Source organism: Homo sapiens, chromosome 22, assembly GCF_000001405.40.
Source record: "Homo sapiens chromosome 22, GRCh38.p14 Primary Assembly".
NCBI classification, from domain to species: Eukaryota; Metazoa; Chordata; class Mammalia; order Primates; family Hominidae; genus Homo; species Homo sapiens.
Window position 1 is genome coordinate 47,345,571 of NC_000022.11, and position 27,991 is coordinate 47,373,561.

Genomic DNA, 27,991 nt, shown 5'->3' on the forward strand with positions numbered 1-27,991 from the left:
AGGGCTGCTCCCTCAGAAGCACCAGGGAGGATCCTTCCTGCCTCTTCCAGCTCCCAGGGGCTCCAGGGGTTCCTTGGCTGGTGACGGCACCATGCCATCCTCTGCCTTCTGTGCACACAGCCTTCTCCTCGACTCTCTCTTCCATTGATAAAAGGTCAGTCATTGGATTTAGGGCCCACCCCTGACCCACAAGGGTTTCATCTGTGATCCTTATCTTTTTTTTTTTCTATTATACTTTAAGTTTTAGGGTACATGTGCACAGCGTGCAGGTTTGTTACATAGGTATACATGTGCCATGTTGGTGTGCTGCACCCATTAACTCGTCATTTACATTAGGTATATCTCCTAATGCTATCCCTCCCCCCTTCCCCCACCTCACAACAGGCCTCGGTGTGTGATGTTCCCCTTCCTGTGTCCAAGTGTTCTCATTGTTCAGTTCCCACCTATGAGTGAGAACATGTGGTGTTTGTTTTGTTGTCCTTGTGATAGTTTGCTGAGAATGATGGTTTCCAGCTTCATCCATGTCCCTACAAAGGACATGAACTCATCCTTTTTTATGGCTGCATAGTATTCCATGGTGTATATGTGCCACATTTTCTTGATCCAGTCTATCATTGTTGGACATTTGGGTTGGTTCCAAGTCTTTGCTATTGTGAATAGTGCCGCAGCAGTAAACATACGTGTGCATATGTCTTTATAGCAGCATGATTTATAATCCTTTGGGTATATACCCAGTAATGGGATGGCTGGGTCAAATGGTATTTCTAGTTCTAGATCCCTGAGGAATCACCACACTGACTTCTACAATGGTTGAACTAGTTTACAGTCCCACCAATAGTGTAAAAGTGTTCCTATTTCTCCACATCCTCTCCAGCACCTGTTGTTTCCTGACTTTTTAATGATCGCCATTCTAACTGGTGTGAGATGGTGATCTCATTGTGGTTTTGATTTGCATTTCTCTGATGGCCAGTGATGATGAGCATTTTTTCATGTGTCTTTTGGCTGCATAAATGTCTTCTTTTGAGAAGTGTCTGTTCATATCCTTCACCCACTTGTTGATGGGGTTGTTTTTTTCTTGTAAATTTGTTTGAGTTCTTTGTAGATTCTGGATATTAGCCCTTTGTCAGATGAGTAGATTGCAGAAATTTTCTCCCATTCTGTAGGTTGCCTGTTCACTCTGATGGTAGTTACTTTTGCTGTGCAGAAGCTCTTTAGTTTAATTAGATCCCATTTGTCAATTTTGGCTTCTGTTGCCATTGCTTTTGGTGTTTTAGACATGAAGTTCTTGCCCATGCCTATGTCCTGAGTGGTATTGCCTAGGTTTTCTTCCAGGGTTTTTATGGTTTCAGGTCTAACATTTAAGTCTTTAATCCATTTTGAATTAATTTTTGTATAAGGTGTAAGGAAGGGATCCAGTTTCAGCTTTCTGCATATGGCTAGCCAGTTTTCCCAGCACCATTTATTAAATAGGGAATCCTTTCCCCATTGCTTGTTTTTGTCAGGTTTGTCAAAGATCAGATAGTTGTAGATGTGTGGCATTATTTCTGAGGGCTCTGTTCTGTTCTATTGGTCTATATCTCTGTTTTGGTACCAGTACCATGCTGTTTTGGTTACTGTAGCTATGTAGTATAGTTTGAAGTCAGGTAGCATGATGCCTCCAGCTTTGTTCTTTTGGCTTAGGATTGACTTGGCAATGTGGGCTCTTTTTTGGTTCTATATGAACTTTAAAGTAGTTTTTTTCCAATTCTGTGAAGAAAGTCATTGGTAGCTTGATGGGGATGGTATTGAATCTATAAATTACCTTGGGCAGTATGGCCATTTTCACGATATTGATTCTTCCTACCTGTGAGCATGGAATGTTCTTCCATTTGTTTGTATCCTCCTTTATTTCGTTGAGCAGTGGTTTGTAGTTCTCCTTGAAGAGGTCCTTCACATCCCTTGTAAGTTGGATTCCTAGGTATTTTATTCTCTTTGAAGCAATTGTGAATGGGAGTTCACTCATGATTTGGCTCTCTGTTTGTCTGTTATTGGTGTATAAGAATGCTTGTGATTTTTGTACATTGATTTTGTATCCTGAGACTTTGCTGAAGTTGCTTATCAGCTTAAGGAGATTTTGGGCTGAGATGATGGGGTTTTCTAGATATACAGTCATGTCATCTGCAAACAGGGACAATTTAACTTCCTCTCTTCCTAATTGAATACCCTTTATTTCCTTCTCCTGCCTGATTGCCCTGGCCAGAACTTTCAACACTATGTTGAATAGGAGTGGTGAGAGAGGGCATCCCTGTCTTGTGCCAGTTTTCAAAGGGAATGCTTCCAGTTTTTGCCCATTCAGTATGATATTGGCTGTGGGTTTGTCATATATAGCTCTTATTATTTTGAGATACGTCCCATCAATACCTAATTTATTGAGAGTTTTTAGCATGAAGGGCTGTTCAATTTTGTCAAAGGCCTTTTCTGCATCTATTGAGATAATCATGTGGTTTTTGTGATTGGTTCTGTTTATATGCTGGATTATGTTTATTGATTTGTGTATGTTGAACCAGCCTTGCATCCCAGGGATGAAGCCCACTTGATCATGGTGGATAAGCTTTTTGATGTGTTGCTGGATTCAGTTTGCCAGTATTTTATTGAGGATTTTTGCATCGATGTTCATCAGGGGTATTGGTCTAAAATTCTCTTTTTTTGTTGTGTCTCTGCCAGGCTTTGGTATCAGGATGATGCTGGCCTCATAAACTGAGTTAGGGAGGATTCCCTCTTTTTCTATTGATTCTAATAGTTTCAGAAGGATTGGTACGAGCTCCTCCTTGTACCTCTGGTAGAATTCGGCTGTGAATCTGTCTGGTCCTGGACTTTTTTTGGTTGGTAAGCTATTAATTATTGCCTCAATTTCAGAGCCTGTTATTGGTCTATTCAGGGATTCAACTTCTTCCTGGTTTAGTCTTGGGAGGGTGTATGTGTCCAGGAATTTATCCATTTCTTCTAGATTTTCTAGTTTATTTCCGTAGAGGTGTTTATAGTATTCTCTGATGGTAGTTTGTATTTCTGTGGGATCGGTGGTGATATCCCCTTTATCATTTTTTATTGTGTCTTTGATTCTTCTCTTCTTCTTTATTATTCTTGCTAGCGGTCTATCAATTTTGTTGATCTTTTCAAAAAACCAGCTCCTGGATTCATGATTTTTTGAAGGATATTTGTGTCTCTATCTCCTTCAGTTCTTCTCTGATCTTAGTTATTTCTTGCTTTCTGCTAGCTTTTGAATGTGTTTGCTCTTGCTTCTCTAGTTCTTTTAATTGTGATGTTAGGGTGTCAATTTTAGACCTTTCCTGCTTTCTCTTGTGGGCATTTAGTGCTATAAATTTCCCTCTACACACTGCTTTGAATGTGTCCCAGAGATTCTGGTATGTTGTGTCTTTGTTCTCATTGTTTTCAAAGAACATCTTTATTTCTGCCTTTATTTCATTATGTACCCAGTAGTCATTCGGGAGCAGGTTGTTCAGTTTCCATGTAGTTGAGCCGTTTTGAGTGAGTTTCTTAATCCTGAGTTCTAGTTTGATTGCACTGTGGCCTGAGAGACAGTTTGTTATAATTTCTGTTCTTTTACATTTGCTGAGGAGTGCTTTACTTCCAACTATGTGGTCAATTTTGGAATAAGTGCGGTATGGTGCTGAGAAGAATGTATATTCTGTTGATTTGGGGTGGAGAGTTCTGTAGATGTCTATTAGGTCCGCTTGGTGCACAGCTGAGTTCAATTCCTGGATATCCATTAACTTTCTGTTTTATCAGAGACTAGGATTGCAACCCCTGCCTTTTTTTGTTTTCCATTTGCTTGGTAGATCTTCCTCCATCCCTTTATTTTGAGCCTATGTGTGTCTCTGCATGTGAGACGGGTTTCCTGAATACAGCACACTGATGGGTCTTGACTCTTTATCCAATTTGCCAGTCTGTGTCTTTTAATTGGAGCATTTAGCCCATTTACATTTAAGGTTAATATTGTTATGTGTGAATTTGATCTTGTCATTATGATGTTAGCTGGTTATTTTGCTCGTTAGTTGATGCAGTTTCTTCCTAGTCTTGGTGGTCTTTACAATTTGGCATGTTTTTGCAGTGGCTGGTACTGGTTGTTCCTTTCCATGTTTAGTGCTTCCTTCAGGAGCTCTTGTAGGGCAGGCCTGGTGGTGACAGAATCTCTCAGCATTTGCTTGTCTGTAAAGTATTTTATTTCTCCTTCACTTATGAAGCTTAGTTTGACTGGATATGAGATTCTGGGTTGAAAATTCTTTTCTTTAAGAATGTTGAGTATTGGCCCCCACTCTCTTCTGACTTGTAGAGTTTCTGCTGAGAGATCAGCTGTTAGTCTGATGGGCTTCCCTTTGTGGGGAACCCAACCTTTGTCTCTCGCTGCCCTTAACATTTTTTCCTTCATTTCAACTTTGGTGAATCTGACAATTATGTGTCTTGGAGTTGCTCTTCTCAAGGAGTTTTTTTGTGGTGTTCTCTGTATTTCCTGAATTTGAATGTTGGCCTGCCTTGCTAGATTGGGGAAGTTCTGGATAATATCCTGCAGAGTGTTTTCCACCTTGGTTGCATTCTCCCCGTCACTTTCAGGTACACCAATCAGACGTAGATTTGGTCTTCTCACATAGTCCCATATTTCTTGGAGGCTTTGTTTGTTTCTTTTTATTTGTTTTTCTCTAAACTTCTCTTCTCACTTCATTCATTTGATCTTCCAACACTGATACCCTTTCTTGCAGTTGGCTGAATTGGCTACTGAAGCTAGCGCATTCATCACGTAGTTCTCGTGCCATGTTTTTCAGCTCCATCAGGTCCTTTAAGGACTTTTCTACATTGGTTATTCTAATTAGCCATTCGTCTAATCTTTTTTCAAGGTTTTTAACTTCTTTGCCATGGGTTCGAACTTCCTCCTTTAGCTCGGAGTAGTTTGATCTTCTGAAGCCTTCTTCTCTCAACTCGTCAAAGTCATTCTCTGTCCAGCTTTGTTCTGTTGCTGGTGAGGAGCTGTGTTCCTTTGGAGGAAAGGTGCTCTGATTTTTAGAATTTTGAGTTTTTCTGCTCTGTTTTTTCCACCTTTGGTCTTTGATGATGGTGACGTACAAATGGGATTTTGGTGTGGATGTCCTTTCTGTTTGTTAGTTTTCCTTCTAACAGTCAGGACCCTCAGCTGCAGGTCTGTCGGAGTTTGCCGGAGGTCCACTCCAGACCCTTTTGCCTGGGTATCAGCAGCGGAGGCTGCAGAACAGTGAATATTGCTGAACAGCAAATGTTGCTGCCTGATCCTTCCTCTGGAAGTTTTGTCTTAGTTTAGTAGGGTACCTGGCCATGTAAGGTGTCAGTCTGCCACTACTGGGGGGCGGTGCCTCCCAGTTAGGCTAACTTGGGGGTCAGGGACCCACTTGAGGAGGCAGTCTGTCCATTCTCAGATCTCAAGCTGTGTGCTGGGAGAACCACTACTGTCTTCCAATCAGTCAGACAGGGACATTTAAGTCTGCAGAGGTTTCTGCTGCCTTTTGTTTGACTATGCCCTGCCCCCAGAGGTGGAGTCTACAGAGGCAGGCAGGCCTCCTTGAGCTGTGGTGGGCTCCACCCAGTTTGAGCTTCCCAGCTGCTTTGTTTACCTGCTCAAGCCTCAGCAATGGTGGGTGCCCCTCCCCCAGCCTCGCTGCCGCCTTGCAGTTTGATCTCAGACTGCTGTGCTAGCAGTGAGTGAGGCTCCGTGGGCGTAGGACCCTCTGAGCCAGGTGCAGGATATAATCTTCTGGTGTGCCGTTTGCTAAGACTATTGGAAAAGCGCAGTATTAGGGTGGGAGTGACCCGATTTTCCAGGTGCCATCTGTCACCCCTTTCTTTGACTTAGGAAAGGGAATTCCCTGACCCCTTGCGCTTCCCAGGTGAGGCAATGCCTCTCCCTGCTTCAGCTCATGCTCGGTGCGCTGCACCCACTGTCCAACAATCCCCTGTGAGATGAAACTCGTACCTCAGTTGGAAATGCAGAAATCATCCGTCTTCTGCATCACTCACGCTGGGAGCTGTAGACTAGAGCTGTTCCTATTTGGCCATTTTGGAACCGCCTCTCTGATCCTTATCTTAATTACCTCTGGAACACACTATTCCCTCATAAAGCCACATTCCAAGTTTCCAACTGGACATGAACTTTTTGGGGGACAATATTTTATCCCTTTGAGCTCTGGGCTTTGCACCTATCAAGTCCTCGGATGTGACTCTGATTCCCCTCATTCCTGCTGCCTCTGCCCGCATTCCAGGGCCTGGCATCCCCTCTGGCACCCACCACAGCCTCCACGACAACCTCCCCGCCTCCAGCCTGTCTCCTCCAGGCCAGCTTCCTACTGGTCAGGGAGAACCTGGGCATGTCACCATCTGTCTTGAAATCACCCGAGACCCCCCTGTCCCCTGGATAGAGCCTGTGTGTGCCACTGTGGTGGGCCAGGTCCTTTGTGCCCAGTGGATGGGCAATGCACCACACCCCCACCCAGCTGGTGACCTCTCTGGGCACCTGGTGTATAGCCTCTTGGAGGATGCCTTCCTCAGGCTGCAGGCTGGAGGACATCCTCTTCCTCTATCTGGAAAGCCCCTCCTTCATGGGCTCTGGTGCATCCTCCAGCCTCTGCTCATCCCCTTTGCAAAGTCCGCTTCTCATCCCTGCCTGGCCTCATCTGTGGAAACACGTCTGCCCCCACCTAGCACTGCTGATGCTGGCTGGAGTTACCTGTTCAGGGTTGGTCTCTCTGGTTGCCTGGTCTCCCATCTCAGCCTCTGGGGTCTGGCTGTGGAGGGAGTGAATGAGGGAGGGGCAAGTGGCCCCAGGGCCCAGCCGGACCGTAAATCCTTACCCTGTCCCCCGTGAGGACTCGTGAAGCCCCCTCCAGTCACTCCCTTCCCTGACAGGGCAGCATCCTCCCCCCACTGCAGAGCAGTTAAATCCCCTCCCGGTGTTCCCTGCAAAATGATGAAAAACTCCAGCAAAGGGTCCCAGGAGCACGAGCAGCCCTATCTCACCATTATCTTTGGAGATAAATCTTTCTCTCCGACGGCAAACGATGTCTGCAGTATTTCATAATTGGTGAGATGAAGAGCCCCTATTTTCCAAGATATTGAAGAATAACTCAGCTTTAAAGACCACGTCCTAACAACTGGAATGGGCCGATTATTCTGAGGGAATCTGCCGAGAATCGTTGCCAGGCGAGGCAGGAGAATGCACCTGAATTATCACTGGAACTTTGCTAAGAGATCCACATTTCCCATCTCCTGGAGAGACGTTAACACCCATTTGTTAAAGATGTTTTTGAGGTTTATTTCTAATAGAAGGATTTGTTTTATTTAAGTGCGTCTTCTGAAATGCTGACGGTGACAGAGCCATGCCTCTGTCCCTTCTCTGACTCTGCAGGGCCTCGGAGGGTCAAGCCCGGAAGTGTGGAGGTCAACAGAGGGCCTGTGGGCTCCCAGCTTCATGTGGGGTGTGGGAAAGAGGGCCGGCCTTGGGCTTGTTGCAGAAGCAAGACACGCAGCACTGGCGAGAAGCAGATCAGCAGCTTTCGGGACGAGAGGAGTCGTTACCAAGTGCCTATGGGCATTTGGGTGGGAGGGACCATTTGTGCTTCCGCCATCTGTGATGTGGAGTATTCACTGTACCTGCCACAGGTCAGTGGGGATCATGGCTTTCACAGATGCAGAGAAGAGTTGGTAGATGAGGAATGTGAGACCCTGAAGGGACCTCTAGGACCATCTGCCATCAACTCATCTTTATGTGGTTCTCTGGAGATGAGCCAGGCTCAGAGGCCACACCATGGCAGCATGAGCTCGGGACATCACACCCAAGCCCACGGCTCTGGGCTCCACGGCCAGTGTCCTTCCTGCCGCAGCAGAAGCTCCTCAGTGCATTGTGTGAGTCCTGGATTTGCAGTGTTGACCGGAACAGCCGGCCTGGCCAAGAAGTTCTCCCATCACATCCACCAGTGGATTCCCCTGCTGGGTGGGTGATATGGTTAGGCTTTGTGTCCCCACCCAAATCTCATCTTGAATCATGATCCCCAGACGTTGAGGGAGAGACCTGGTGGGAGGTGATTGGATCATGGGGGTGGTTTCCCCTATCCTGGGCTTGTGACAATGCGTTCTCACGAGATCTGATGGTTTTATAAGTGCCTGGCATTTCCCCTGCCTACTCTTTTTGGCCTGCCACCATGTCAAGATCCTTGCTTCCCCCCTATACCTTCTGCCATAACTGTAAGTTTTCTGAGGCCTCCCCAGCCATGTGGAACTGTGAGTCCGTTAAACCTCTTTTATTGATAAATTACCTAGTCTTGGGTAATATCTTAATAGCAGTGTGAGAATGAATTAATAGAGTGGGTATCTCCCCTCAGCCTTAAGCCTCCCTCCAATGCCATCCAGGTCCCAGGGTCCCCGCCTCCTTTCCACCCCAGGCAGATAGTGGTGGGTTTTCCCCATGGCCCCCACAGTTCCCTGAGCCGTTGTTTTCTCCCTGCCTGTTAAGAGGCAAAGGGATGACATTTTTCCTCTACGGAGTCCCTGGTGCCTAGCAGGGTGTCTGGGCCTCAGATGCTGAGCACACAGGGTGTTTCAGGATGGGGAGGTGACTGCAGACCCATCTCTCGGTAGCACCTGCACTTCCAGGAGATGCTGCCTCCTGCCTTCCCTCTGCTCGTTGTTTATTGCCTGATTGATTGTGAGACAGACTTCAAGGCATATTGAGGAGGGAGAAAGGAGCAAATGCGTCTCAGGAATCACATCTCCCCTGGCAGACTGGAGTGGCCCCCAGAGCCTCCCTGATGGAGCTGAGCTGATTTCCTGTAAACTTGTTATCCAAAGGATTCTTGCCAGCTCTGAGGCCCCCCCAGCTAAGGCCCAGAAGTGCTGCAGTAATTAACAGCTTTATCTCGAAGCTCCATCCTCTCTTTGTCCAAGCCGGGAGGGCATCTCATGCATTCTTCTCTAGAAAACATGAGCTTTGCCCTTGAAACTGAATGTGATGCTAGAAAGTAGATGGGAAGCCTGGGGAAAAGACTTTCAAAAAATATACAGGAGAAGGAAAGGGCAGGTGAGATGTTCGCTCTGGCCAGCAGTCACTGAGCCCCCGTCTTGCGAGGCCCGTGTGTGCTCACAGCATAGATGCAGTGATCCAATGGCATCCCTCTGCTTAAGGACCTGGGTCAGGGCCTGCCTGTGCCCCCCTGGCCTGGGCACGGCCAGCATCTGCCTGCCTCCCTGGAGCACCTTTCCCTGGCAAAACATCCTTTAGAGAGATGGCACCTTCAGGTCCGGCTTGCTCAGGCATGGCCACCACTCAGTTCTGCACATCACCCTCCATGTTGTTGGCCGACTGACCTGTGTACCATGGAGGCTACACGGACGGCTCCCCTACAGACGACTTTGTGTGACTTGCAAAGTGTTGTAAAAAAACCTCAAAGCAATTTCTAAAACCTAAGAGAAATCCTCTGAACTCTGTATTTATGTTTTTTTTTCTTGGAAACATTATGAGTTGGCCACACTTGGCCTGGATTTCCATGGGGCAACATTCCATTGGAAATAAGCAGGCCCTTCCCAGGAGGAGCTTGTGGTCTCCTGCCCTTCACAATCCCACTGTTCTCTGCACTCCTGGACCTGGGCCGGTCGCTGTGCCGGGCCCCCTGGTCTGCCTGCCCTCCTCGGGGACCTCGGTGGCCAACACCTGAGTCAGTCACTCTGGGATTAGGCAGGTCGAGCCTGGGGCTGCAGAGTAGCCACAGATGGCATTTGGGGGAGGGGGAGAGGGAGTGTGGGGGCTGAGAGGGGGTGGGCTTCTTGGGAGAAGGGAGGCAGTGGCTTCTTGGCAGCTCTGAGGTGTGGCAGGGATGGTCGAGGACAGTGTGACACTCTGATGGGCCGCAGGGACACTGGGTCAGGCCAAGTGCCTGTGTCCATCAGCTTCCCTGATGCACGTTGTCCTGGGAGTCACTGATGTGATGGCAGGAGCATGTCACTGGGGGGTGGGGGGACAGGTGGACCTGGCTGCAAGTCTCTACTAGTTCCTGTCTGCTTGCCGTGGACAGGTATTTCACCTTTCCTGAGTCTCAGCATTGTCATCTATGGCATGGGGTTAAGAGTTCTCTGTAGATTATTGTGAGAATTGAAAGGAGTGGTGTGTGTAAAGCCCCAGGCTGAGTTCCTCAAACAGTCTAAGTGCTCAGAAACAAGCATTTCCTCCCTGTGCCCTCTGTACCTCTGTCACTTCCCTTTATACAGTGAGACCCAGACTGTCTTGTGGTCCTCAGATCATCAGGACAGACACAGCCCCAGGCTGGCCCCAGCATCACCACTCTGGAGCTTCCTAAACCATCTGCTGCATCCATCTGTGTTGATGTGGTGGCCATGATGCTCCTGCAGGCTTGTGCTCACTTTTTTTCTCATTTGAAGCCATGACAGATGCCCCTGCCATGAGTACACCTGAGTGCTGTGGACTCGGAGACTCAGAGAGGTCCATTGCCCCTGCGAAGGCACAGAGCCGGAGGCCAGCAGCGCTGGGACCCAAGCCCTGTGCCCAGGTGTCCTTCCTCAGGCTCCTACCTCGAAAGCACCTTGCGGGCATTGCTGCCCCACCCGCGAGCAGTAGAGTGGAAATGGGAGTGTCACTCCCTGGCTGCTCTAACCCCATGGCTCCTGGACCTGCAGGGGACAGACCCCGCCCCACCAGCTGCCACTTTCTGAGGCTGCCATTTGTCCCTGCATATGGCGCCACTCAGAGATGGATTGGCCCCAAAGCCAGAGCACACAACAAATAAATATTTGTTCCACAAACACTAGTGATGTCGTTTGACTGTAAGTACATTTGGTGCGTGACAGGCTGATAAGTCTTGCCAGCATTAAGATTCTCCCTGCTCCGAGCCCTCACCTCTGACTGACTGTCATTCCACAGTGTGTGGCCCTGTCACTGAGATACTGCCTGCTCCGTCTGTGCTCAACATGCAGCACAAATCTCAGGCCTGGGAGCGACCCATCCCATCTGCCCCCTCCTGCCTCAGCAAAGCCCCCTTTTCTCCACCCCTTTCTGCACAAGAGTGGAGCTGCTTTGGATAAAACACCACCAAGGTGGGGCAGTGTTTGTTTCTGAGCCCCCTTCCAAACCTAAGCTTGAGCTGAGGGCTAAGATGCTGCTAGGCCCTGGGAGAAGGGGCCTTTCCCATGGCGGGCTCTGGGGGTGGTGGGCTTGTGGAATGTCCACTGCTGCAGACATCCACGGTCCTCTGGCCTTCTCTTGGGGATTCCTGGCCCTCATTGCACCCAGCAGGGCTGCAGTTCAGGGAAAACACTTAGGGAAAGGATAGGTTGTGCACCGTTCCTGGCCTGGGGTTTAGGAGAACCACCCTGTAACCTTCAGTGTTGGTTCCCCTCTGGATCTCTTGTTCTTCCTCTGCAGAGTACTCAGGTAAGAGGAGCAGGCCCATTCATCCGTGCTCTGGAAGCATTTATTGTGGGCCCATGAAATTTTGATCCATAGACTTTCATAAGTAGGGGTGATTAATTCAGCAAATGTTTGCTGAGTGCCTATAGTGTGGCTGGCAGGTGCCATCTTGTTGGTCCAGGCTGGGCTCTGCTCCCCTGGAGCTTACATGTATGTGCCCGCCCTATGGCCAGGTGCTGTGCTGGGGTCCGCTTAGGCTGTCCAAATGCTGGACCACTGTGGGCCATGCCTGCCATGCGTGTGGCCGCCCCTGTCCCTGTGAATGTATGCAGTGGAGTTCAGCCATGGGAACATCTGGAAATGGAATGGCTGCCTGTCAGGTCTGTGCCTCTTTGCTAGAGACTGCAGGATGATCCCAGCTCACACTCACTGGGTCCTCTTGACACGTATGACGTGCCTCAGCTCATTAACCTCCCAGCGGTCCCATGACGTATAGATGTATAGACAGTGATTCTCCCCATTTTATGGATGAGGCAGTTGAGGCCCATGGAGGCTAAGCACCTGGCCTGAGGTCACACAGCTGAGAGGCGGCAGAGCCAATATGCAAAACCCTGCCAATCTGGCTCAAAGGCTGAAGTGATAAGCAACAGCATCACCCTCCTGGGAGCTCTCCAGGGTCTCGGACCCATTTTCTGTGCCGCTGGCCAAGAACGCAAAGTCCGATCCCTGGATACCTTCAACAACAGGCGGTGTGGCCAGACTGACCCTCTGCTCATCTGATGCTATGTCACGGTGGATTCGGAGTGCATTTCCCCGACTTGGTAATGGCGAATGTGTTTTCATGCTTGGTGGCTGTGCTGGCCAGTTTTACAGGGCTATGCTGTAGCACCAGTTATGTAATCACATCCTAACCTGGGTGTTGCTGCAAGGGTGTTTCGTGGATGTGGTTAACATCTACAATCAGTTGGCTTTAAGTAAAGAAGATGACCCACACTAGGGTGGGTGGGCCTCACCCACTCAGGTGAAGACATGAGCAAGATGGAGGTTTCCTGGAAAAGAAGAAATGTTGCTTTAAGACGGCAGCACCGACTCCTGCCTGAGTTTCCATCCTGCTGGCATGCCCAATGGATTTCAGACTCACCAGCCTCCTCAATTGTATGAGCCACTTTCTTAAAATAAATCATACCTGTTTCCCTTTGGTTCTGTTTCTCCAGAGGACTCTGGCTGATACAATGGTCACTTATGTTTTCTCTTCTGTGCTTGCCTTTAGATATATTTAAATAGTTCACACACTGATATTTAGTCAGTTACGTTGCTTAAAATATCTTCCCTCCATGCTGTGGTTTACCTCTCTGCTATCTTTTTCATAAACAAAACTCTCTTCCTTTATTGCTTGTGTGTATGCCTGTGTGCGTGTGTGTGCATATGTGCATGCATGTGTATGTGTGGATGCATGTGTGTGCATGCATGCATGTGTGCGTGCGTGTGTTAAGAAATCTCTGCTTTGAAGCCTGAAAGATATTCTCCTGTGTTTTCTTTTAAATAGTCTGTAATTTTATTTTCGCCACATACGCCTTTTATTCAATACAAGTGTGTGTCGAATGGGGTAAGGGGAGTGCTGGGTGCTGGGTGCAGCCCCTCCCCAGTGTAATAGGTGACCCATTCCACATGTCCAGAGTTAGCCATTGAATTGAGGCTGGACACTGTAGATTTGTGGTTGTTATTACATATTCTGTAGAGAATGCAGCCAGGTAGGCATGGTGGTATAGGAAAAATGCTGTACCAATAACAGCATATTAGATTCAGGTATGTGACTTATTACAGATTTTTTTCAACCATATGAAGTATTTATGCTGGAGTTTCAATGTGACATGATGGGAGATACAAGAAGCCTTCAAAGGACTTGACAACATGGTAGGTCTTACCCTGACCCAGAAAAATGCAATCTGCTCCCATCACCACTGGCCCCAAAGCATCCAGGAAGCTGGAGCCTGGAGAAGTTGTGCTTAGCACACACATTACAACCTGACTGGCTAGTAGGCTCAGCTGAGAGTACAGCATTTGAACTTAAGAGAACATCCTGTTACTGCCATAGAACATTTTAGCTGTAGCTCCAGCCCAGTATTCTGCAGGACAACATCAGAGATCAAGTTTTATTTTAGTTTTTTGTACATGGATATTAATTCCAGCAGCAATCAGAGAATAATTTATTCGTTCTCTGTCCATTTTTGTTCTGCCTCTCTGCGTGCTTGGCTGATATGGATTGGATGTTGGAAATTGTATATGAGAAATTGCAGAAATAACTTTAAGCCTAGGGTCTTGTTATCTTCCTCTGGGGAAGGTTTATTTAGTATCTAGCTGGAACCAGGTGCACGAAGAGTCCAGGATCACCTTAATCCACTCTGGAGACTGAGAGGCTCAGAGCTGGCCTTTGACCCTGTGAGGGCTCAGCCTTCTTTACTCTCAGGGATGGGCGGGAAGGAGCTGATTCTTGCGGAATTAATACCACTCTGTGAATAACAGGCTTTTGTTGATGGGTGGATCTGTATCTGCGCTCTGTGTCCTGCTCCATCGGCTTACTTTTCTGTCTCTGTGCTAGTATCACACTCATTGAACTGCTTCTGCCTTTAGGTGGAATAAGTTCCATCCCTTCGTTTTTACTTCAGTATTTTCCTAGCCATTTCTGAGCCTTTGCTCTTCTAGATGGATTTAGGATGAGCTTATCAGGCTTCACAAGGCATGCTGTTGGGGTTTGGCTGGAATTTTGATAAAAGCATAGATTGGCTTTGGAGCAATGGCATTTTCACGAGGTTGGCTCTTCCCTTGCAGGACCGTGGAATACTTCCCAGTTTGATCACATCTTCATATGTATTCTGCGTGTATCTTCCTTTTCTATTAATAGACTTTATTTTTTAGAGCAGTTTTAGACTTACAGAATAATTGAGCAGAAAACAGAGTTCCCATATATCCCTTTCCTCACTTCTCTTATTAACATCTTGCATTAGTGTGGTACCTCTGTTATAATGGATGAACTAATATTGATACATTATCATTAGCTAAAGCCCATAGTTTACATTAAGGTTCACTCTTGGTGTTGTACATTCTCTGGGTTTTGACAAATGCATAATGTTGTGCATCTCCCGTTTCAGAATCATGCAGAATAGTTTCACCACCCTGAAATACCCCCACACTCCCCCTATTTATCCTTTCACCCTCTCCCCCAACCCCTGGCAACCACTGATCATTTTTCTGGTTTTCTGGTTTTGCCTTTTATGGAATGGTATATAGTAGGAATCACTCAACACACTGCTTTTTCAGACTGGCTTCCTTCACTTAGCAATATGCACTTAAGTCTCTTTCATGTCATTTTGCGGCTTGATAGCTCATTTATTTTTATTACTAAGTAAGATTCCATTGTATGGAGGTCCCACAGTTTTTTTTTTTTATACATTAACCTACTAAAATTGGTCACTTCCAGTTTTTGGTGATTATAAATAAAGCTGCTATAAACATTCTTGCATAAGCTTTTGTGTGGATATAAATTTTCAACTCAATTGGGGAAATACTAGGATCACAATGGTTAGATTATATGGTAAGAGTGTGGTTAGCTTTCTATGAAACTGCCACACTGTCTTCCACAGTTGCATTCCCGCCAGCAATGAATGAGAATTTTTGTGGTTCCACGTCTTCACCAGCATTTGGTAGTATCGATGTTTTGGATGTTCATGATTCTGGTAGGTGCGTAGTGATATCTCATGATCATTTTGATGATGTTTTATGGTGTTGTGTATATCTCCATAAGCTTCTGTGCTATTTGTATATCTTCTTTGGTGAAGTGTCTGTTCTTCTGCCCATTTAAAAACTGAGATTTTGTCTATTGTTGATTTTTAAGAGTTCTTTGTACAGTTTGGATACAAGTCCTTTACCAAATATGTCTTTTGAAAGTATTTTATTCACATCTGTGGCTTGTCTTGTGATTCTCTAAACGGTATCTTTCACAGAGCAGAAATTTTCAATTTTAATGAAGTCCAACTCATCAATTTTTATGGGTCATTCTTTTGACGTTGTATCTAAAACTCTTTGCAAATTCAAGGTCACCTAGATTTTCCCCTATGTTACTTCTAGGAGTTTTATAGTTCTGCATTTTACATTTAGATCTATGATCCATTTTGAGGTAATTTTTGTGAAAGGTGCAAGGCCTGTGTCTAGAATATGTTTTCTTTTTTTTTTTTTTTGCATGTGTGTCCACTTGTTCCAGCCATTTGTTGAAAAGACTATCCTTTCTCCATTGAATTTTCTTTGTCAAAGATGGCTGACTATGCTTGTATGGGTCTACTTCTGGGATCACTGTTCTGTTCCATTGGTCTATTTGTGTATTCTTTCATCAGTACCATGCTGTCTTGATTACCGTAGCTTTATAAGTCAGTCTTCCCACTTTGTTCCTCTTCATTATTGCATCACTTCTTCTGCATCTTTCGCCGTTGCATAGAAACTTTATAATTGGTTTGTCCATATCCTTAAAATAACTTGCTGGGATTTTAGTTGAGATTGTGTTGAACCTATAGATAACATTGAGAAGAACTGACATCTTAACAACATTGAATCTTCTTATTCATGAACAAGGAATACTTCCCTATTTAATTATATTTTCTTTGATTTCTTTCATCTGAGTTTTGTTGTTTATCTCATATAGATCCTGTACATACATTGTGAGATCTATAGTGTTTACTTTTTTGGTGCTAATTTTAAATAAAATTGTCTATTGCTGGCATATAAGAAAGCAATAGACTTTTACTTATTAACCTTGTAGCCTGCAATCTTGCTTTATCTATTTATTTATTTAGACAGAATCTCAGTCTGTCGCCCAGGCTGGAGTGCAGTGGTGCAATCTCAGCTCACTGCAACCTCCACTTCCCAGGTTCAAGAGATTCTCATGCCTCAGCCTCCTGAGTAGCTGGGATTATAGGCGCCCACCACACCAGGCTAATTTTTGTACTTTTAATAGAGATGGGGTTTCACCATGTTGGCCAGGCCAATCTCAAACTCCTGACCTCAAGTGATCTGCCTCCCTCAGCCTCCCAAAGTGTTGGGATTATAGGTGTGAGCCACCACACCTGGCCCAATCTTGCTATAATCACTCAGTTCCAGGAGATTTTTGTTGATTCTTTGGAATTTTCTACATAGAAATTATATCATCTGCAAACAAAGACGGTTTTATTTCTAGGAAGAAATTTTGTATACTTTTCATTTCCTTTTCCTGTCTTATTGCATAAGCTAGGACTTCTAGCACAATATTGACTGTCTCCTGTGAGAGGGAACAGTCTTACCTATTTTTTTATCTTAAGGGGAAAGCATCTGGTTTCTCATCATTAATATGTCAGCTGTAGGTTTTTTGTAGATATGTACAAATATTTTTGTAAATGTTTTCAACTTTAACATGTTGAAAACATTTCTTTTTACTCTTTTCTGAAAGTTTTTCTAATAGGTGTTGAATTTTGTCAAATTATTTTTCTGTATTTATTGATAAGATCATTGTAATTTGTCTTCTTTAGCCTGCTAATTTGATAGATTTCATTAACTGAATGTATACCTGGAACAAATCCCACTTTATTGTGGTGTATATTTATTTTTATAGATTGTTGAATTCAATTTGCTAATATTTTGTTGAGGATCTTTGCATCTTCATTAATAAGAAATATTGGCTCATAGTTTTCCTTTCTTGTAATTTCTTTATCTGGTTTTAGTATTAGTAATGATAACCCCTAGAACAAATTAGGAAATTACTCTTCTGCTCTACTTTTGGAAATAAATGGGAGAGAACAGGTATTATATTTGCTTTGTTTGGTAGACTTCACCAGTGAAGTCATCTGGGCCTAGTGCCTTCTGTTTTTCAAAGGTTATTAATTATAGATTCAGTTTATTTAATAGATATAGATCCAGACTTTTTATTTCCCCCAAAGAATTTTTCCATTTCATCTAAGTTATTAAATTTTGGAGCACAGAGTTGTTCATAATATCCCCGTATTATTCTATTATTCATGGTATCAGTAGTGATGGCTTCTCTTTCATTATTGATATTAATAATTTGTATCTCCTCTTTTTTTTTTTTACTTTGTTAGCCTGACTAGAGGCTTTTTAGTTGTAATAATATTTTAAAATAACCAACTTTTGATTTCATTGACTTTTTATATCTATTGAAAATTTTAAGCAATTTCATTGTTATATTCTCTATTATTTTTTTCTTTTGCTTACTCTAGGTCTATATTGCTCTTCACTCCCTAGGTCCTTAAGGTGGAAGCTTAGATGATTGATTTTTAGATTTTTCTTCCTAATATGTACATTCAGTATTATAAATTTCCTTCTAAGCACTGCTTTTGTTGCATCCCATAAATGTTTGATAAGTTGTATTTTCATTTAATTCAAATAGTTTTAAATTTCTCTTGAGACTTCTTCTATGTCCCATGTGTTATATAGAGGTGTTTTATTTAAGTTACTTAATCTCCAAATATTTTGAGATTTTTCAGCTTTCAGACATTGATTTCTAGTTTGATTATATTTTTCAGATTCCTATCGTTTTCTTTTCGAGACAGGGTCTTGCTCTACCACCCAGGCTGGAGTGCAGTGGTGTGATCTCAGCTCGCTGCAACCTCCACCTCCTGGGCTCACACAATCCTTCCACCTCAGCATCTGGAGTAGCTGGGACTACAGCTGTGTGCCACCATGCCTGGCTAATTTTTCTATTTTGTTTTAGTAGAGATGGGGTTTGCGGGGGGGGGGGGGGTCTCACCATTTTGCCCAGGCTGGTCTTGAACTCCTGACCTCAAGTGATCTGCCTGCCTTTGCCCCTGAAAGTGCTGGAATTACAGGTGTGAATCACTGTGCCTGGGCAATTTCTATTCTTTTAAGTTTCTTGAGATGTATTTTATGGCCCAATATGTTGTCCATCTTGGTGAATACTTCATGTGAGTATAAGTAGAGTGTGAATTTGGCTGTTGTTGGTTGACATATTGTATAAATGCCAATTAGATCCAGTTGATTGATGATGCTGCTCAGTTCGACTGTATTCTTACTGATTTTCTGCCTGCTGGATCTGTCCCATTAATGATACAAGAGCACTGGATTTTCCAACTCTAGTAGTGGATTCATCCATTTCTCCTTGCAGTTCTATCAGTTTTTGCTTCACATAATTTGAAGCTTTGTTGTTAGGTGCATACATGTAAAGGCTTGTTATGTCTCCTTGGAAAATTGATCTCTTTATCATTATGTAGTCTCCCTATTTATCCCTGATATTTTCCATGTTCTGAAGTTGCCTTTGTCTGAAATTATATAGTTACTCCAGTTTTCTTTTGATTAGTGTTTGTATTAGTCCATTCTTGCATTGCTATAAAGAAATACCTGAGACTGGGTAGTTTATAAGGAAAAGAGGTTTAATTGGCTCATGGTTGCACAGGCTGTACAGGAAGCATGACGCAGGCATCTGATCAGCCTCTAGGGAGGCCTCAGGAAGCTTACAATCACAATTCGCAGAAGGTGAAGAGGGAGCCAGCACTTCACATGGTCAGAGAAGGAGGAAGAGAGAGATGGGGTAGATGCTACACGCCTTTAAACAACCAGACTTCACGAGAACTCACCATGGTGATGACAGCACCAAGGGGGATGATGTTAAAACATGAGAAACTGCCCCCATGATCCAACCACCTCCCACCAGGCCCCACCTCCAACATTAGGGATTACAATATGACATGAGATTTGGGTAGGGACACAGATCCAAACCATATCAGTGTTAGAATGGGATATCCTTCTCCACCCATTTATTTGTAATCTATCAATGTCTTTATATTTAAAGTGCACTTCTTGTAGATAACGTATCAGTGGGGTTTTTTACGCTCTGAAAGTCTGTCTTTTAATTGGTATATTGAGACCATTTTTGAAGTGATTAGTGATATAGTTGGATGAATATCTACCATTTTTTTAAACTGTTTTCTATTTTCACTTGTACTTTGCTTTTTTTTTTCCTTTTTTCTACATTCTCTGGTTTTAATTTAGCATTTTATATCACTCAATTTTGTTTCTTTCGTATAGCAATTATACTTCTGTTTGAAATTTTTGAGGTGGTTGCCTGTGAGTTTGCAATACTCATTTGCAACTAATCTATGTCTACTTTCAATAACACTAGACTACTTCATGGGTAGTTCAGGTACATTTTAACAGAATCTTTTGAATTACTTCCTCCCATCCCTTATAAAATTGCTGTCATTCACTTAAATTATCCATATGCTATAATTATCCCATATATTTTTGCTATTATTATTTCAAACAGTTATTTTTTTAGCCTAGGTAAGATTAAGAAAAATACAGATTTTATTTTACTTTCATTTATTCCTTCTCTGAAGCTCTTTCTTTCTTTATATGATCCAAATATATGGCCTATATAATTCTCCTTGGTGAAGAACTTCTTTAATATTTCTTGCAAGATGGGTCTATTGGCAACAAATTCCCTCAGTTTCTGTTTGTCTGAGAAAGCCTTTATTTCTGAAGAACAACTTCACTGTATACAGAATTATAGGTTAATGTTTTATTCTTTCAATGCTTTAAATATTTCATTCTCTGCTTGCATGGTTTCTGGTGAGAACTCCAAGGTAATTATTATTCATGTTCTTCTACAGGGTAGGTATATTTACTCTGCTTTCTTTCACAAATTTTCTCCTGTCTTGGTTTTTCTTTTTTGGTAGTTTGAATATCATATGTTCAGGTATAGATATTTTTGATATTTATACCAGAGTATTTTTGAGATAGATCATATAAATTATATTTATATCAATGTTTGTCAACATTTATCCTGCTTGGCATTTTCTGAACTTCCTGAATATGTTTGTTTGGTGTCTGTTAATAATTTTGGAAAACCCTCAGCCATTATTGTTTCCAATATTTCTTTGGCTTTTCTTTCCTTCTTATCCTTCTGGTATTTTCATTACATGTGTTACAACTTTTGGAATTGTCCCACACTTTTTGGATGTTCTGTTCATCTTTTCACCCTTTTTTTCCTCTTCGTATCATTCACATGTCTGTGAACGCAGTGATTCTTTCCTCAGCTGTGTCCAGTTTACCGGTGAGCCCTGAAAGGTGTTCCTCATTTTGGTCTGTGAGTGACAGGAGGGAAACACACAGGCAGGCTGGCAGGGATGAAAGACTGAGTCAGGAGTAAAAAGCAACTGGGGTGTGGGGAAGGCGGTGGGGTGGACGTCTGGGTGGAGTGGGTAGAATGGAGGTTTGCAGACAGATGCACTCCACCTGTCTCCTCTGTGCCCTTGGACTTGGCTGGTTGTCGTGGGTGCCCGCCCTGTAGTGGGGCAGCCATTTCTATGCTGGGGAGGACAGAGATTTTACCTTGTTCTTGGCTGTCTTGCTCAGAGTGTGGGGGACTGCCGCCCTAGCAGGCAGCAGATCTTCAACAGAGCAGTGCTCATGGGGTTGGGGGAGTCCCAGGGGGACAGGCTGCCATGGTGACCTACACGAGGCAGTGCACCATGGAGGTGAAGACGCACCCCTCGAGGGTGGGCTTAGCTGCCCCTGCCCAGTCCCAGCATGGCAGCAACCAGACGGGCCCACGTGGAGTAGGCAGGCTGGGCCAGAGGACGGAGCAGGTGGCTCCTGGAGCACTTAGGCGCCTCATGAATATAAATTCTCTACATTTCTTAATAACTGGAAGTAAAAGTTTGTGTAAACTCAATTGTCAGAGCACTAATAATCCGATTTCTCTCGGCAGGTCAGTCCTCTGGGCTCCATCTATAAAACAAATGTTTGTCATCCTCCGGTAAGCACTTCTTAGGGATAAATAAATAATCAGGGAGCTAATCGAGTGTGCACCTTGCCACGCGTTTATATGTATCCTTTTCTTTGCACATCAATAACCCCATTGGAATTGGATTTATAAATTCAAATTATCTTTCTAAGTCTTTTTTTTCCAATGGCAAGGCCAGCACTGCTGCAGGAGGAGACGCAGATCCTGTGTTTTGCTAATATCTGTGTCCCAGTGCACGCATCTCCTTGCCTGGAGAACAACTTCCATTTGCATTTTTCCCACTTGGGCAGAAGCCTAGGTGGGCGGGAACTCACATTTGTAGAAAGCAGAGGGCACCTGCTACATTGATGGTAGGAGGATTGATGGGTTCCATTTCTCCCAGGGCAGCTTCAATCCCACCACTGGGCGACCTTCCCTGACCACCTGCCCAGAGCCTTCATCCTTCCCTGTACTCTTGCCTGTGGGCAGGTGGAGTCGGTGGATGGGAGTGCCATCAGCACTCACTCTTGGCCCGGGATGCTGGGATAGCCACTATCGCTCCCAGGCATCCACTGGGCTTCCCCTGCAGTGACAACCGAGTTTGTCTGGCACCTGCTCTCTGTCCTCCTCCCCTGCTGGGTGACACACTCCAGGCAGGCAGGGGCCACATTTGCCCTGCTGTCCACCCACCCCTGTGCCTGGTGAAGGGGGTGACCCAGAGCAGGTGCCCTAAAACACTGCTGAATGAGCCCGTGGCCACTGCCACCTCCTAGCCTCCCTCCTCCCCACCTTCCTGCTCCCATTAGCAGAGGAACAATCTGCTTAAACTTTCTAAAATGCCAATCTGACCAAGCCACTCACAACCACCATCCTGGGAGGAGACCATGAGTCTGGGCTGGGGTTCACTGGTGGCAGGGTGGGCCCCCACTGATCCCTAGCCCAGACTCATGCTATCCTCCCAGGAAGCAAGAAGCACTGAGGGAGGTCTGTTCAGTAGAGAAAGGATGGCAGTGTCTCTCTCTCTCTCAATTAAACTGTGAGTTTAATTGACTCGCAGTTCTGCAGGGCTGGGGAGGCCTCAGGAAACTTACAATCATGGTGGATGGAGAAGCAAACATGTTCTTCACATGGCAGCAGTTGAGAGAAGTGCAGAGCAAAAGGGGGGAAAGCCCCTTATAAAGCCATCAGATCTCATGAGAACTCACTCTCAGGAGAACAGCATGAGGTTAACTGCCCCCATGATTCAGTTACCTCCCACTGGGTCCCTCCCATGGCATGTGGGGATTAGACGAACTACAATTCGAGATTTGGGTGGGGTCAGAGCCAAACCACATCAGTCAGCGACCCTGCAAGGCCTCACCTGTTTATTCCTGGACTCCACTTCCCTTGGCAGTGATGTCACTGCCCACAGCAGCCTTGTTTGGGAGGACATAGCCTGTACAGAGCCTGGCTTGGCAGGTGCTGGCCACGTGGAGTGGTCCCTACTGTGGGCATCACGGAACTTTCCACAGCCTCTGTGGTTCACCCTCACTCGGGAGGTTGGTGACAGATGTTACCACTCTCTTGTTCAAGCAGAAGAGGGAGGCTCAGAAAGGACAAATAACAATCCCAAAGACCCCAGCTGGTACGTGGCAGAGCCAGGCCCTAAAGACAGGTGTTCTGAGGCTGAGCTGAGCGCTTCTGACCACTCCAGGATGTGTCCATCCCAGGTACCCACCATTTCTGCAGCCACCCCCGGGCTGGCCCTGTCAGAGGAGCTCTGGGAGACCTCTGGATTCCCACTGGGAAGACCCGTGCGGCTCAGGCACAGATGGCCTGCACTGTGGCCCTCGCCCCTTTCCCTCCATGCCCGCCACAGGTCCTCAGTACCCCAGTTCTGAGAACTTCCCAGGCTGCCCATGCCCTTTGAGACCCCTGCCCATCTCCCAACAAGGGAGGTGGTGAGAGTGGCACCCCTCTCATGTACTGCCCACAAAGAACACTGCATGGCATCTGTGCCCACGGCCGGGGAAGGCGCTCTCAGGCCATGAATTTACCATTTCACTGCACGGCCTCTTTTCCCGATGAAGTAAATAAATAAAGCCGCTGCTCCCCGCCGGCCTGCTCCTGCAGCTGAAATGAAATGGATGATTTTCTTTGCCCTGTGCCCAGTATCTGTGCTTATTGCAAGCATATATCTGCAGTGGTGAGTTTTTAAACTAGTCAGCACACCCGGTGCCCTCAGGAAGCATCTTTCTTCCCTTTGAACGGCCTGGCTCTCCTGGAAGGGGTCTGCTGGGCCTTTTTATAAGCTGCAGGGGCATTTTTCTTCCCTGAAATGAGGGCCTGGCTGGCGCATCTCTGGGAGCTGCCAAGGCTGTTGGAAAGAGCACTTCCAGGCAGATCTGCCGTCCTTGGGCCTGTCCTCCAGCCGAGGCTACACAGACACGGAGTGGAGTCCCCAACCTGGGCTGTGGGTTCCCCTGCTGGGGTCTGCAGGGCTACGGGAGTCAGCTGCCTATGGGGGACAGGAGGGTTGACGGCACTCCAGTCCCTGCAGAGGGAGAGATGAGAGACACGGGGGAAGGCTGCCCCAACCCCTACCATCACCTCTAAAGCAGTGGGAGAATTGGGGCTTCTGCCCCATCTGCCATGGCAGCAGCCTTATCTCTGCAGCAGGCCCCATGAATTGTGTGCCCAGAGTTGAGGTCAAAGCAAGTTCCTGGTTTGTTTTTTAGGGAAACAGAGCACATCTAACAGAGGCAGGCAATTCCTGGAGCTTCTTGATTCTGTTCAGCAGAACCAGGGCCCCAGCGGCAGAGGCCTCCCAGGAGGTCCACATTGTGCAAGACACGAACTCAGGTCCTTTCATCTCATCCATCAACAGCCCAGAACAGAGTTAATTTTGCCCACTGTACAAAGGGTGAAACCCAAATTCAGAGAAATTGACTGGCCTGCCCGTGCCTGCCCAGCTGGGAGGAGTCAGAGCTGGCTTCCATTCACACGTGTCTCACTGAGAACACCAACCCACACCCTGACTGAAGGGCTGGTCCAAGCCTACTTATTGGGTGTTTGCTCACTACCCTCCTTCTCCCTGTCCACCCTTCCCTTCGTGGACAGAAGCCAGAGTTCAGAGAGGATCCCCAGGTCCCCAGGGACACACAGCCAGGCAAGGAGGGAGCTCACCTCAACTGCTGCCTTCTGTCCAGGGCCTCTCCACCCCAACCCCACAGCCCGCCACCTTCATGCAGCCAGGACTGTGGGTAATGCACTAAACACATGATTAGCATTTATTATGGCTTCATTTCATAGACACAGGACAATGAACAGAGCCATAAACAGGGAGAACAACAATGGAATCAAGAAAATATGGCACTTTTAAGAATAGTTTATGAGTTGAACAAAAGGAAAACTCTAGTCTTCCACTCTGGGATATTGAGCAGTGCTCCTAGGGCTCTTTGGACTATAAAGCATTATTGAACTGTTCCTGCAATGCAAAGTGTACAAGATGGTCATAATTAAGAACAATTGATTCAATATTTTTGCCAAACCTCAGGGTAAGAATATAAACTAGTCATAATGGAAAAATGCCAGATCTGAGGTGACCTGAGCCAAGATGATCATTGCAAGAATACAGGAACCATTGCAGTGGAGGTGACACTCTCACAATCGTCACAGCGGAGATGACACAGCATGGAGTGACCATACACAACCATCACAGCGGAGGTGACACACACCGCATGGAGTGATGACACTCACACAACCGTCACAGCGGAGATGACACAGCATGGAGTAACCATACTCACAACCATCACAGCAGAGGTGACGCACACAGCATGGAGTGACTGCACTCACACAACCGTCACAGCGGAGGTGATGCACACAGCACGTTAGAAGACCTCCAGGTGCCGGTTGCTGGGCTCACATCTGATGATCTAATGAAGAGCAAAGCAGACACAGGTCGCTGCCCAGGTTGTTTTGCCACCTAGAGAGAGGTGGACTCTAACCACAAAAGCCACACCTGTGATTCAAAGACACCTGTGTCAGGCTGCACCCACGAGCAGTGTCAGGTGTGGCTGCTGTGGGGGCAGGTGCCAGGTAGTCTGCCTCCAGAGCTAGTGTCAACTGTGTCTGGGTTCAGTGGACGAGCAGATTCAAACCAGGCTATGGAAACCACCAAACAACATGGTGCCTGGAAACAGAAGGGTGTGTTCAGCCGAGGGGCATCTGCCCTGGAGCTCCCCAGACACTCAGGAGCCGACTCTCTGGGAAGTCACAACAGGGGCTCAGAACTCGCTGTGGGGCTAAACCTTGTGCCTGCCTTTCATAGGATGACAAGGCCGCCTCCACCCACTCACCCACTGTCCCTCACAGGGCCACCACAGAGCAAGATGACTGTGCCTTCCACCCTCTGTCCACTGGCTAGGGCCAGCGTGAATGGAGGTGTGGCCACAGGGGGCAAGCTTCTTAGGACACCAAGTGCTGAGAAAATGACTCGCTGAAGACTATTAGGAAAGAGGATCTCTAGAGTCTGGGAGAGAACACAGGGAGCCAGCCGTGGGCCAGGCCGCAGTGTGCTGAGACATGGCTAACAACCAGCTCCTGTGGTGAGGGGTGGATGGTCGTGCAGTCATCACCAATAGCCCTGGTGCAATTGCTCCCACCATGGCTGATTCCCAGCTACAAATGTCACATCAACTGTTGCAGGATTCCAGGATATTTAACAACAGGCTCTCTGGAGCGGTACTAGCTGGCCCCAGCACTGCACCCTCCCAGGACTCTGGCTTCTGAGGAAGCCTGGTCCACAGAAATCTACAGCTGTAATGGAACCTCAAAGCAGGTCCCTCCGCGGGGTAGGGTCTGGTCACTGCAGTCAGCTTGCTGCAGGCCTACAGGAGTTCTGAGCCCCAAAGTGTCCACCCCACCGGTAGGAATCAAGCCTTCCTCCAAACACTTGGTTTATCACATTGCATAGAGAGCACCTGATAGGTTCAAGATCTGTGTTCAACCAGAAAGCTACACACTCAAGCTGAACTCATGCTCCCAGGAGCCCCCAGAGGCCAGGACACGCCCTCCCCACAGTCGGGGGGGACAGGAGAAAGTGCATGCGTGCTGGAACGTCAAACATCACGTGGCACAGGGAGGGGAGAAAGGGGCCAGGGGATGCGGGGCTTGGCCCTGGCCCTGGCCCAGATCTTAGATAATGGGCAGGCACCCGGCAGGGAGGACAAAGCAGAAAGGGCATTTCTAGGTGAATGAGAAGCTGAGCTGGCAAAGATATGACTGGGGGTCCCAGCAAGCGGGAATGAAACTGTAGATTAGTGTGTGGAGCCCCAAACAGGCATGTGGGTGGCCTCGCACACTGGAGACCCTGGTGCCAGAAGAGGCAACTGCCATTGACGGGGCCCTGCTGTGAGCTGCGTGCCAGGCCTTGTGGCTGCACACACAATCCCACACACCCTCAGGGTTTACTGAGACATCCTCCCGGTGTCCCCAGAAAAGGCCCAGCAGTCCAGGAGGTGGAGCTCTCGGGGGACGGGGGACAGAGCCAGGGCTCATGGGCCTGTGGAGCACCTGGGAAGCCGTGAGGAGGACGTGGGGGCTGCAAGTGGAAAGCTTCTGTGGGAGCACAAATCCTTGCCGAGCTCAGTGGAGCCGGGCCGTGAATGTCACCTGTGGGTGGGTGTGTTCCCTGACACAGCCAGCCGCCCTCACTGCTGTCGCCTTGACCCGAAGTCCCCCCAGTTCCTCACCTGCTGCCAGGCTGAGCCTCAAGGACTCTCCTGAGACCTGGCATCATGGGGCAGAAGGCACGTAACCATAACCTCCAGATGCATCATGGATGCTGAACGCACGTCGATTGATTGAGCAAATAAATAACTGCTGCGGCCGCAAAGTACCAGAGAAGGATGGGACTGTGCCCAGACTTTCTGAAATAGATCTAAATTTTGCCAGGTGGCCAAGGCAGGCAGCAGTGGGGCTGTGACAGGAAAGGCCATCCTCGCCACCCAGACCCCACCGGCCTCACGTTCTGTTGTCGAAAGACACCTGCCTGCTTTGCGACTCCATCTCCACCGAAACGGTCTCTGCAGTCATTTGCAGGGATCGGTCCATTTCCCTTGAACACCTCCTTTATCCCTCTCCCCAGAATCATGAAGCCCAGCCCCGATCAATCTTGCCACTTACATCACCCCACTGGTATCTTCACTTTTCAATCTCTTTAACATACATGCAGGAAAAAGACAGCCAGCATGGAATACAGTTCAGCAGGGCCAAAGAGGAGCAGTGGCGTCATCTCAGGATGTGCTGGGCAGGCACCACAGCGCCGGCGTCCCCACGTCCAGGACAAAGCTGAGTGCAAGTGTCACCGTGAGCTGGCCTGTGTGAGCCCGGCCCACTGACCACCCCCCAGATAAAAAAGAGCAGGAGATGCCTCTCAGCCAGGACTCAGACCACCAGCACGCAGCACCCGGCACCCACGGCTGAGCATGTGCCCTCGAGTAGAGAGGAGACCTCGGTATGGAGGGGACAGTGATGTGACAGCCACCAAGTCCATGGTCTGACCCCCAGCAGCAGGGGTGCCAGCCTCATTGTGGAGTGTTGCAGCATGCGGGGAAATGATTTTCCTAATCACTGCTACCAGTTGGGTGCTAATGAGCCCCAGTTCTGGTTCCACTGGTGACATTTCAGTTTACACATCGCTGCCATTTGGGGTGAATAAGTCCAAGCCACTTAAACCTCAGGCTCACATTGATTAGAGACGTCCCCTCCAGGTCCCAATTTCAGGCTTCTGCTCTTTC

General features: G+C 46.9%; 1 long non-coding RNA gene across 1 annotated transcript, besides 1 other annotated feature; it reads left to right on the forward strand.

Moving 5' to 3' along the window:
- LOC339685 (uncharacterized) lies at positions 1–27,971 on the forward strand. The gene is made up of 4 exons (NR_144462.2): positions 1–154; positions 18,022–18,139; positions 21,198–21,245; positions 23,930–27,971. It is a non-coding gene; the product is annotated as an uncharacterized LOC339685 (long non-coding RNA).
- Positions 24,176–25,375: an enhancer, noted in NCBI's record as "P300/CBP strongly-dependent group 1 enhancer chr22:47765496-47766695 (GRCh37/hg19 assembly coordinates)". NCBI's record gives its function as "activates an origin of replication core promoter dependent on BRD2, BRD4, P300/CBP, MED14 and CDK7 cofactors, with strong dependence on P300/CBP, by STARR-seq in HCT116 cells {active_cell/tissue: HCT116}" and the evidence as "EXISTENCE:reporter gene assay evidence [ECO:0000049][PMID:35650434]".
- Positions 27,972–27,991: the final 20 nt, after the last annotated feature.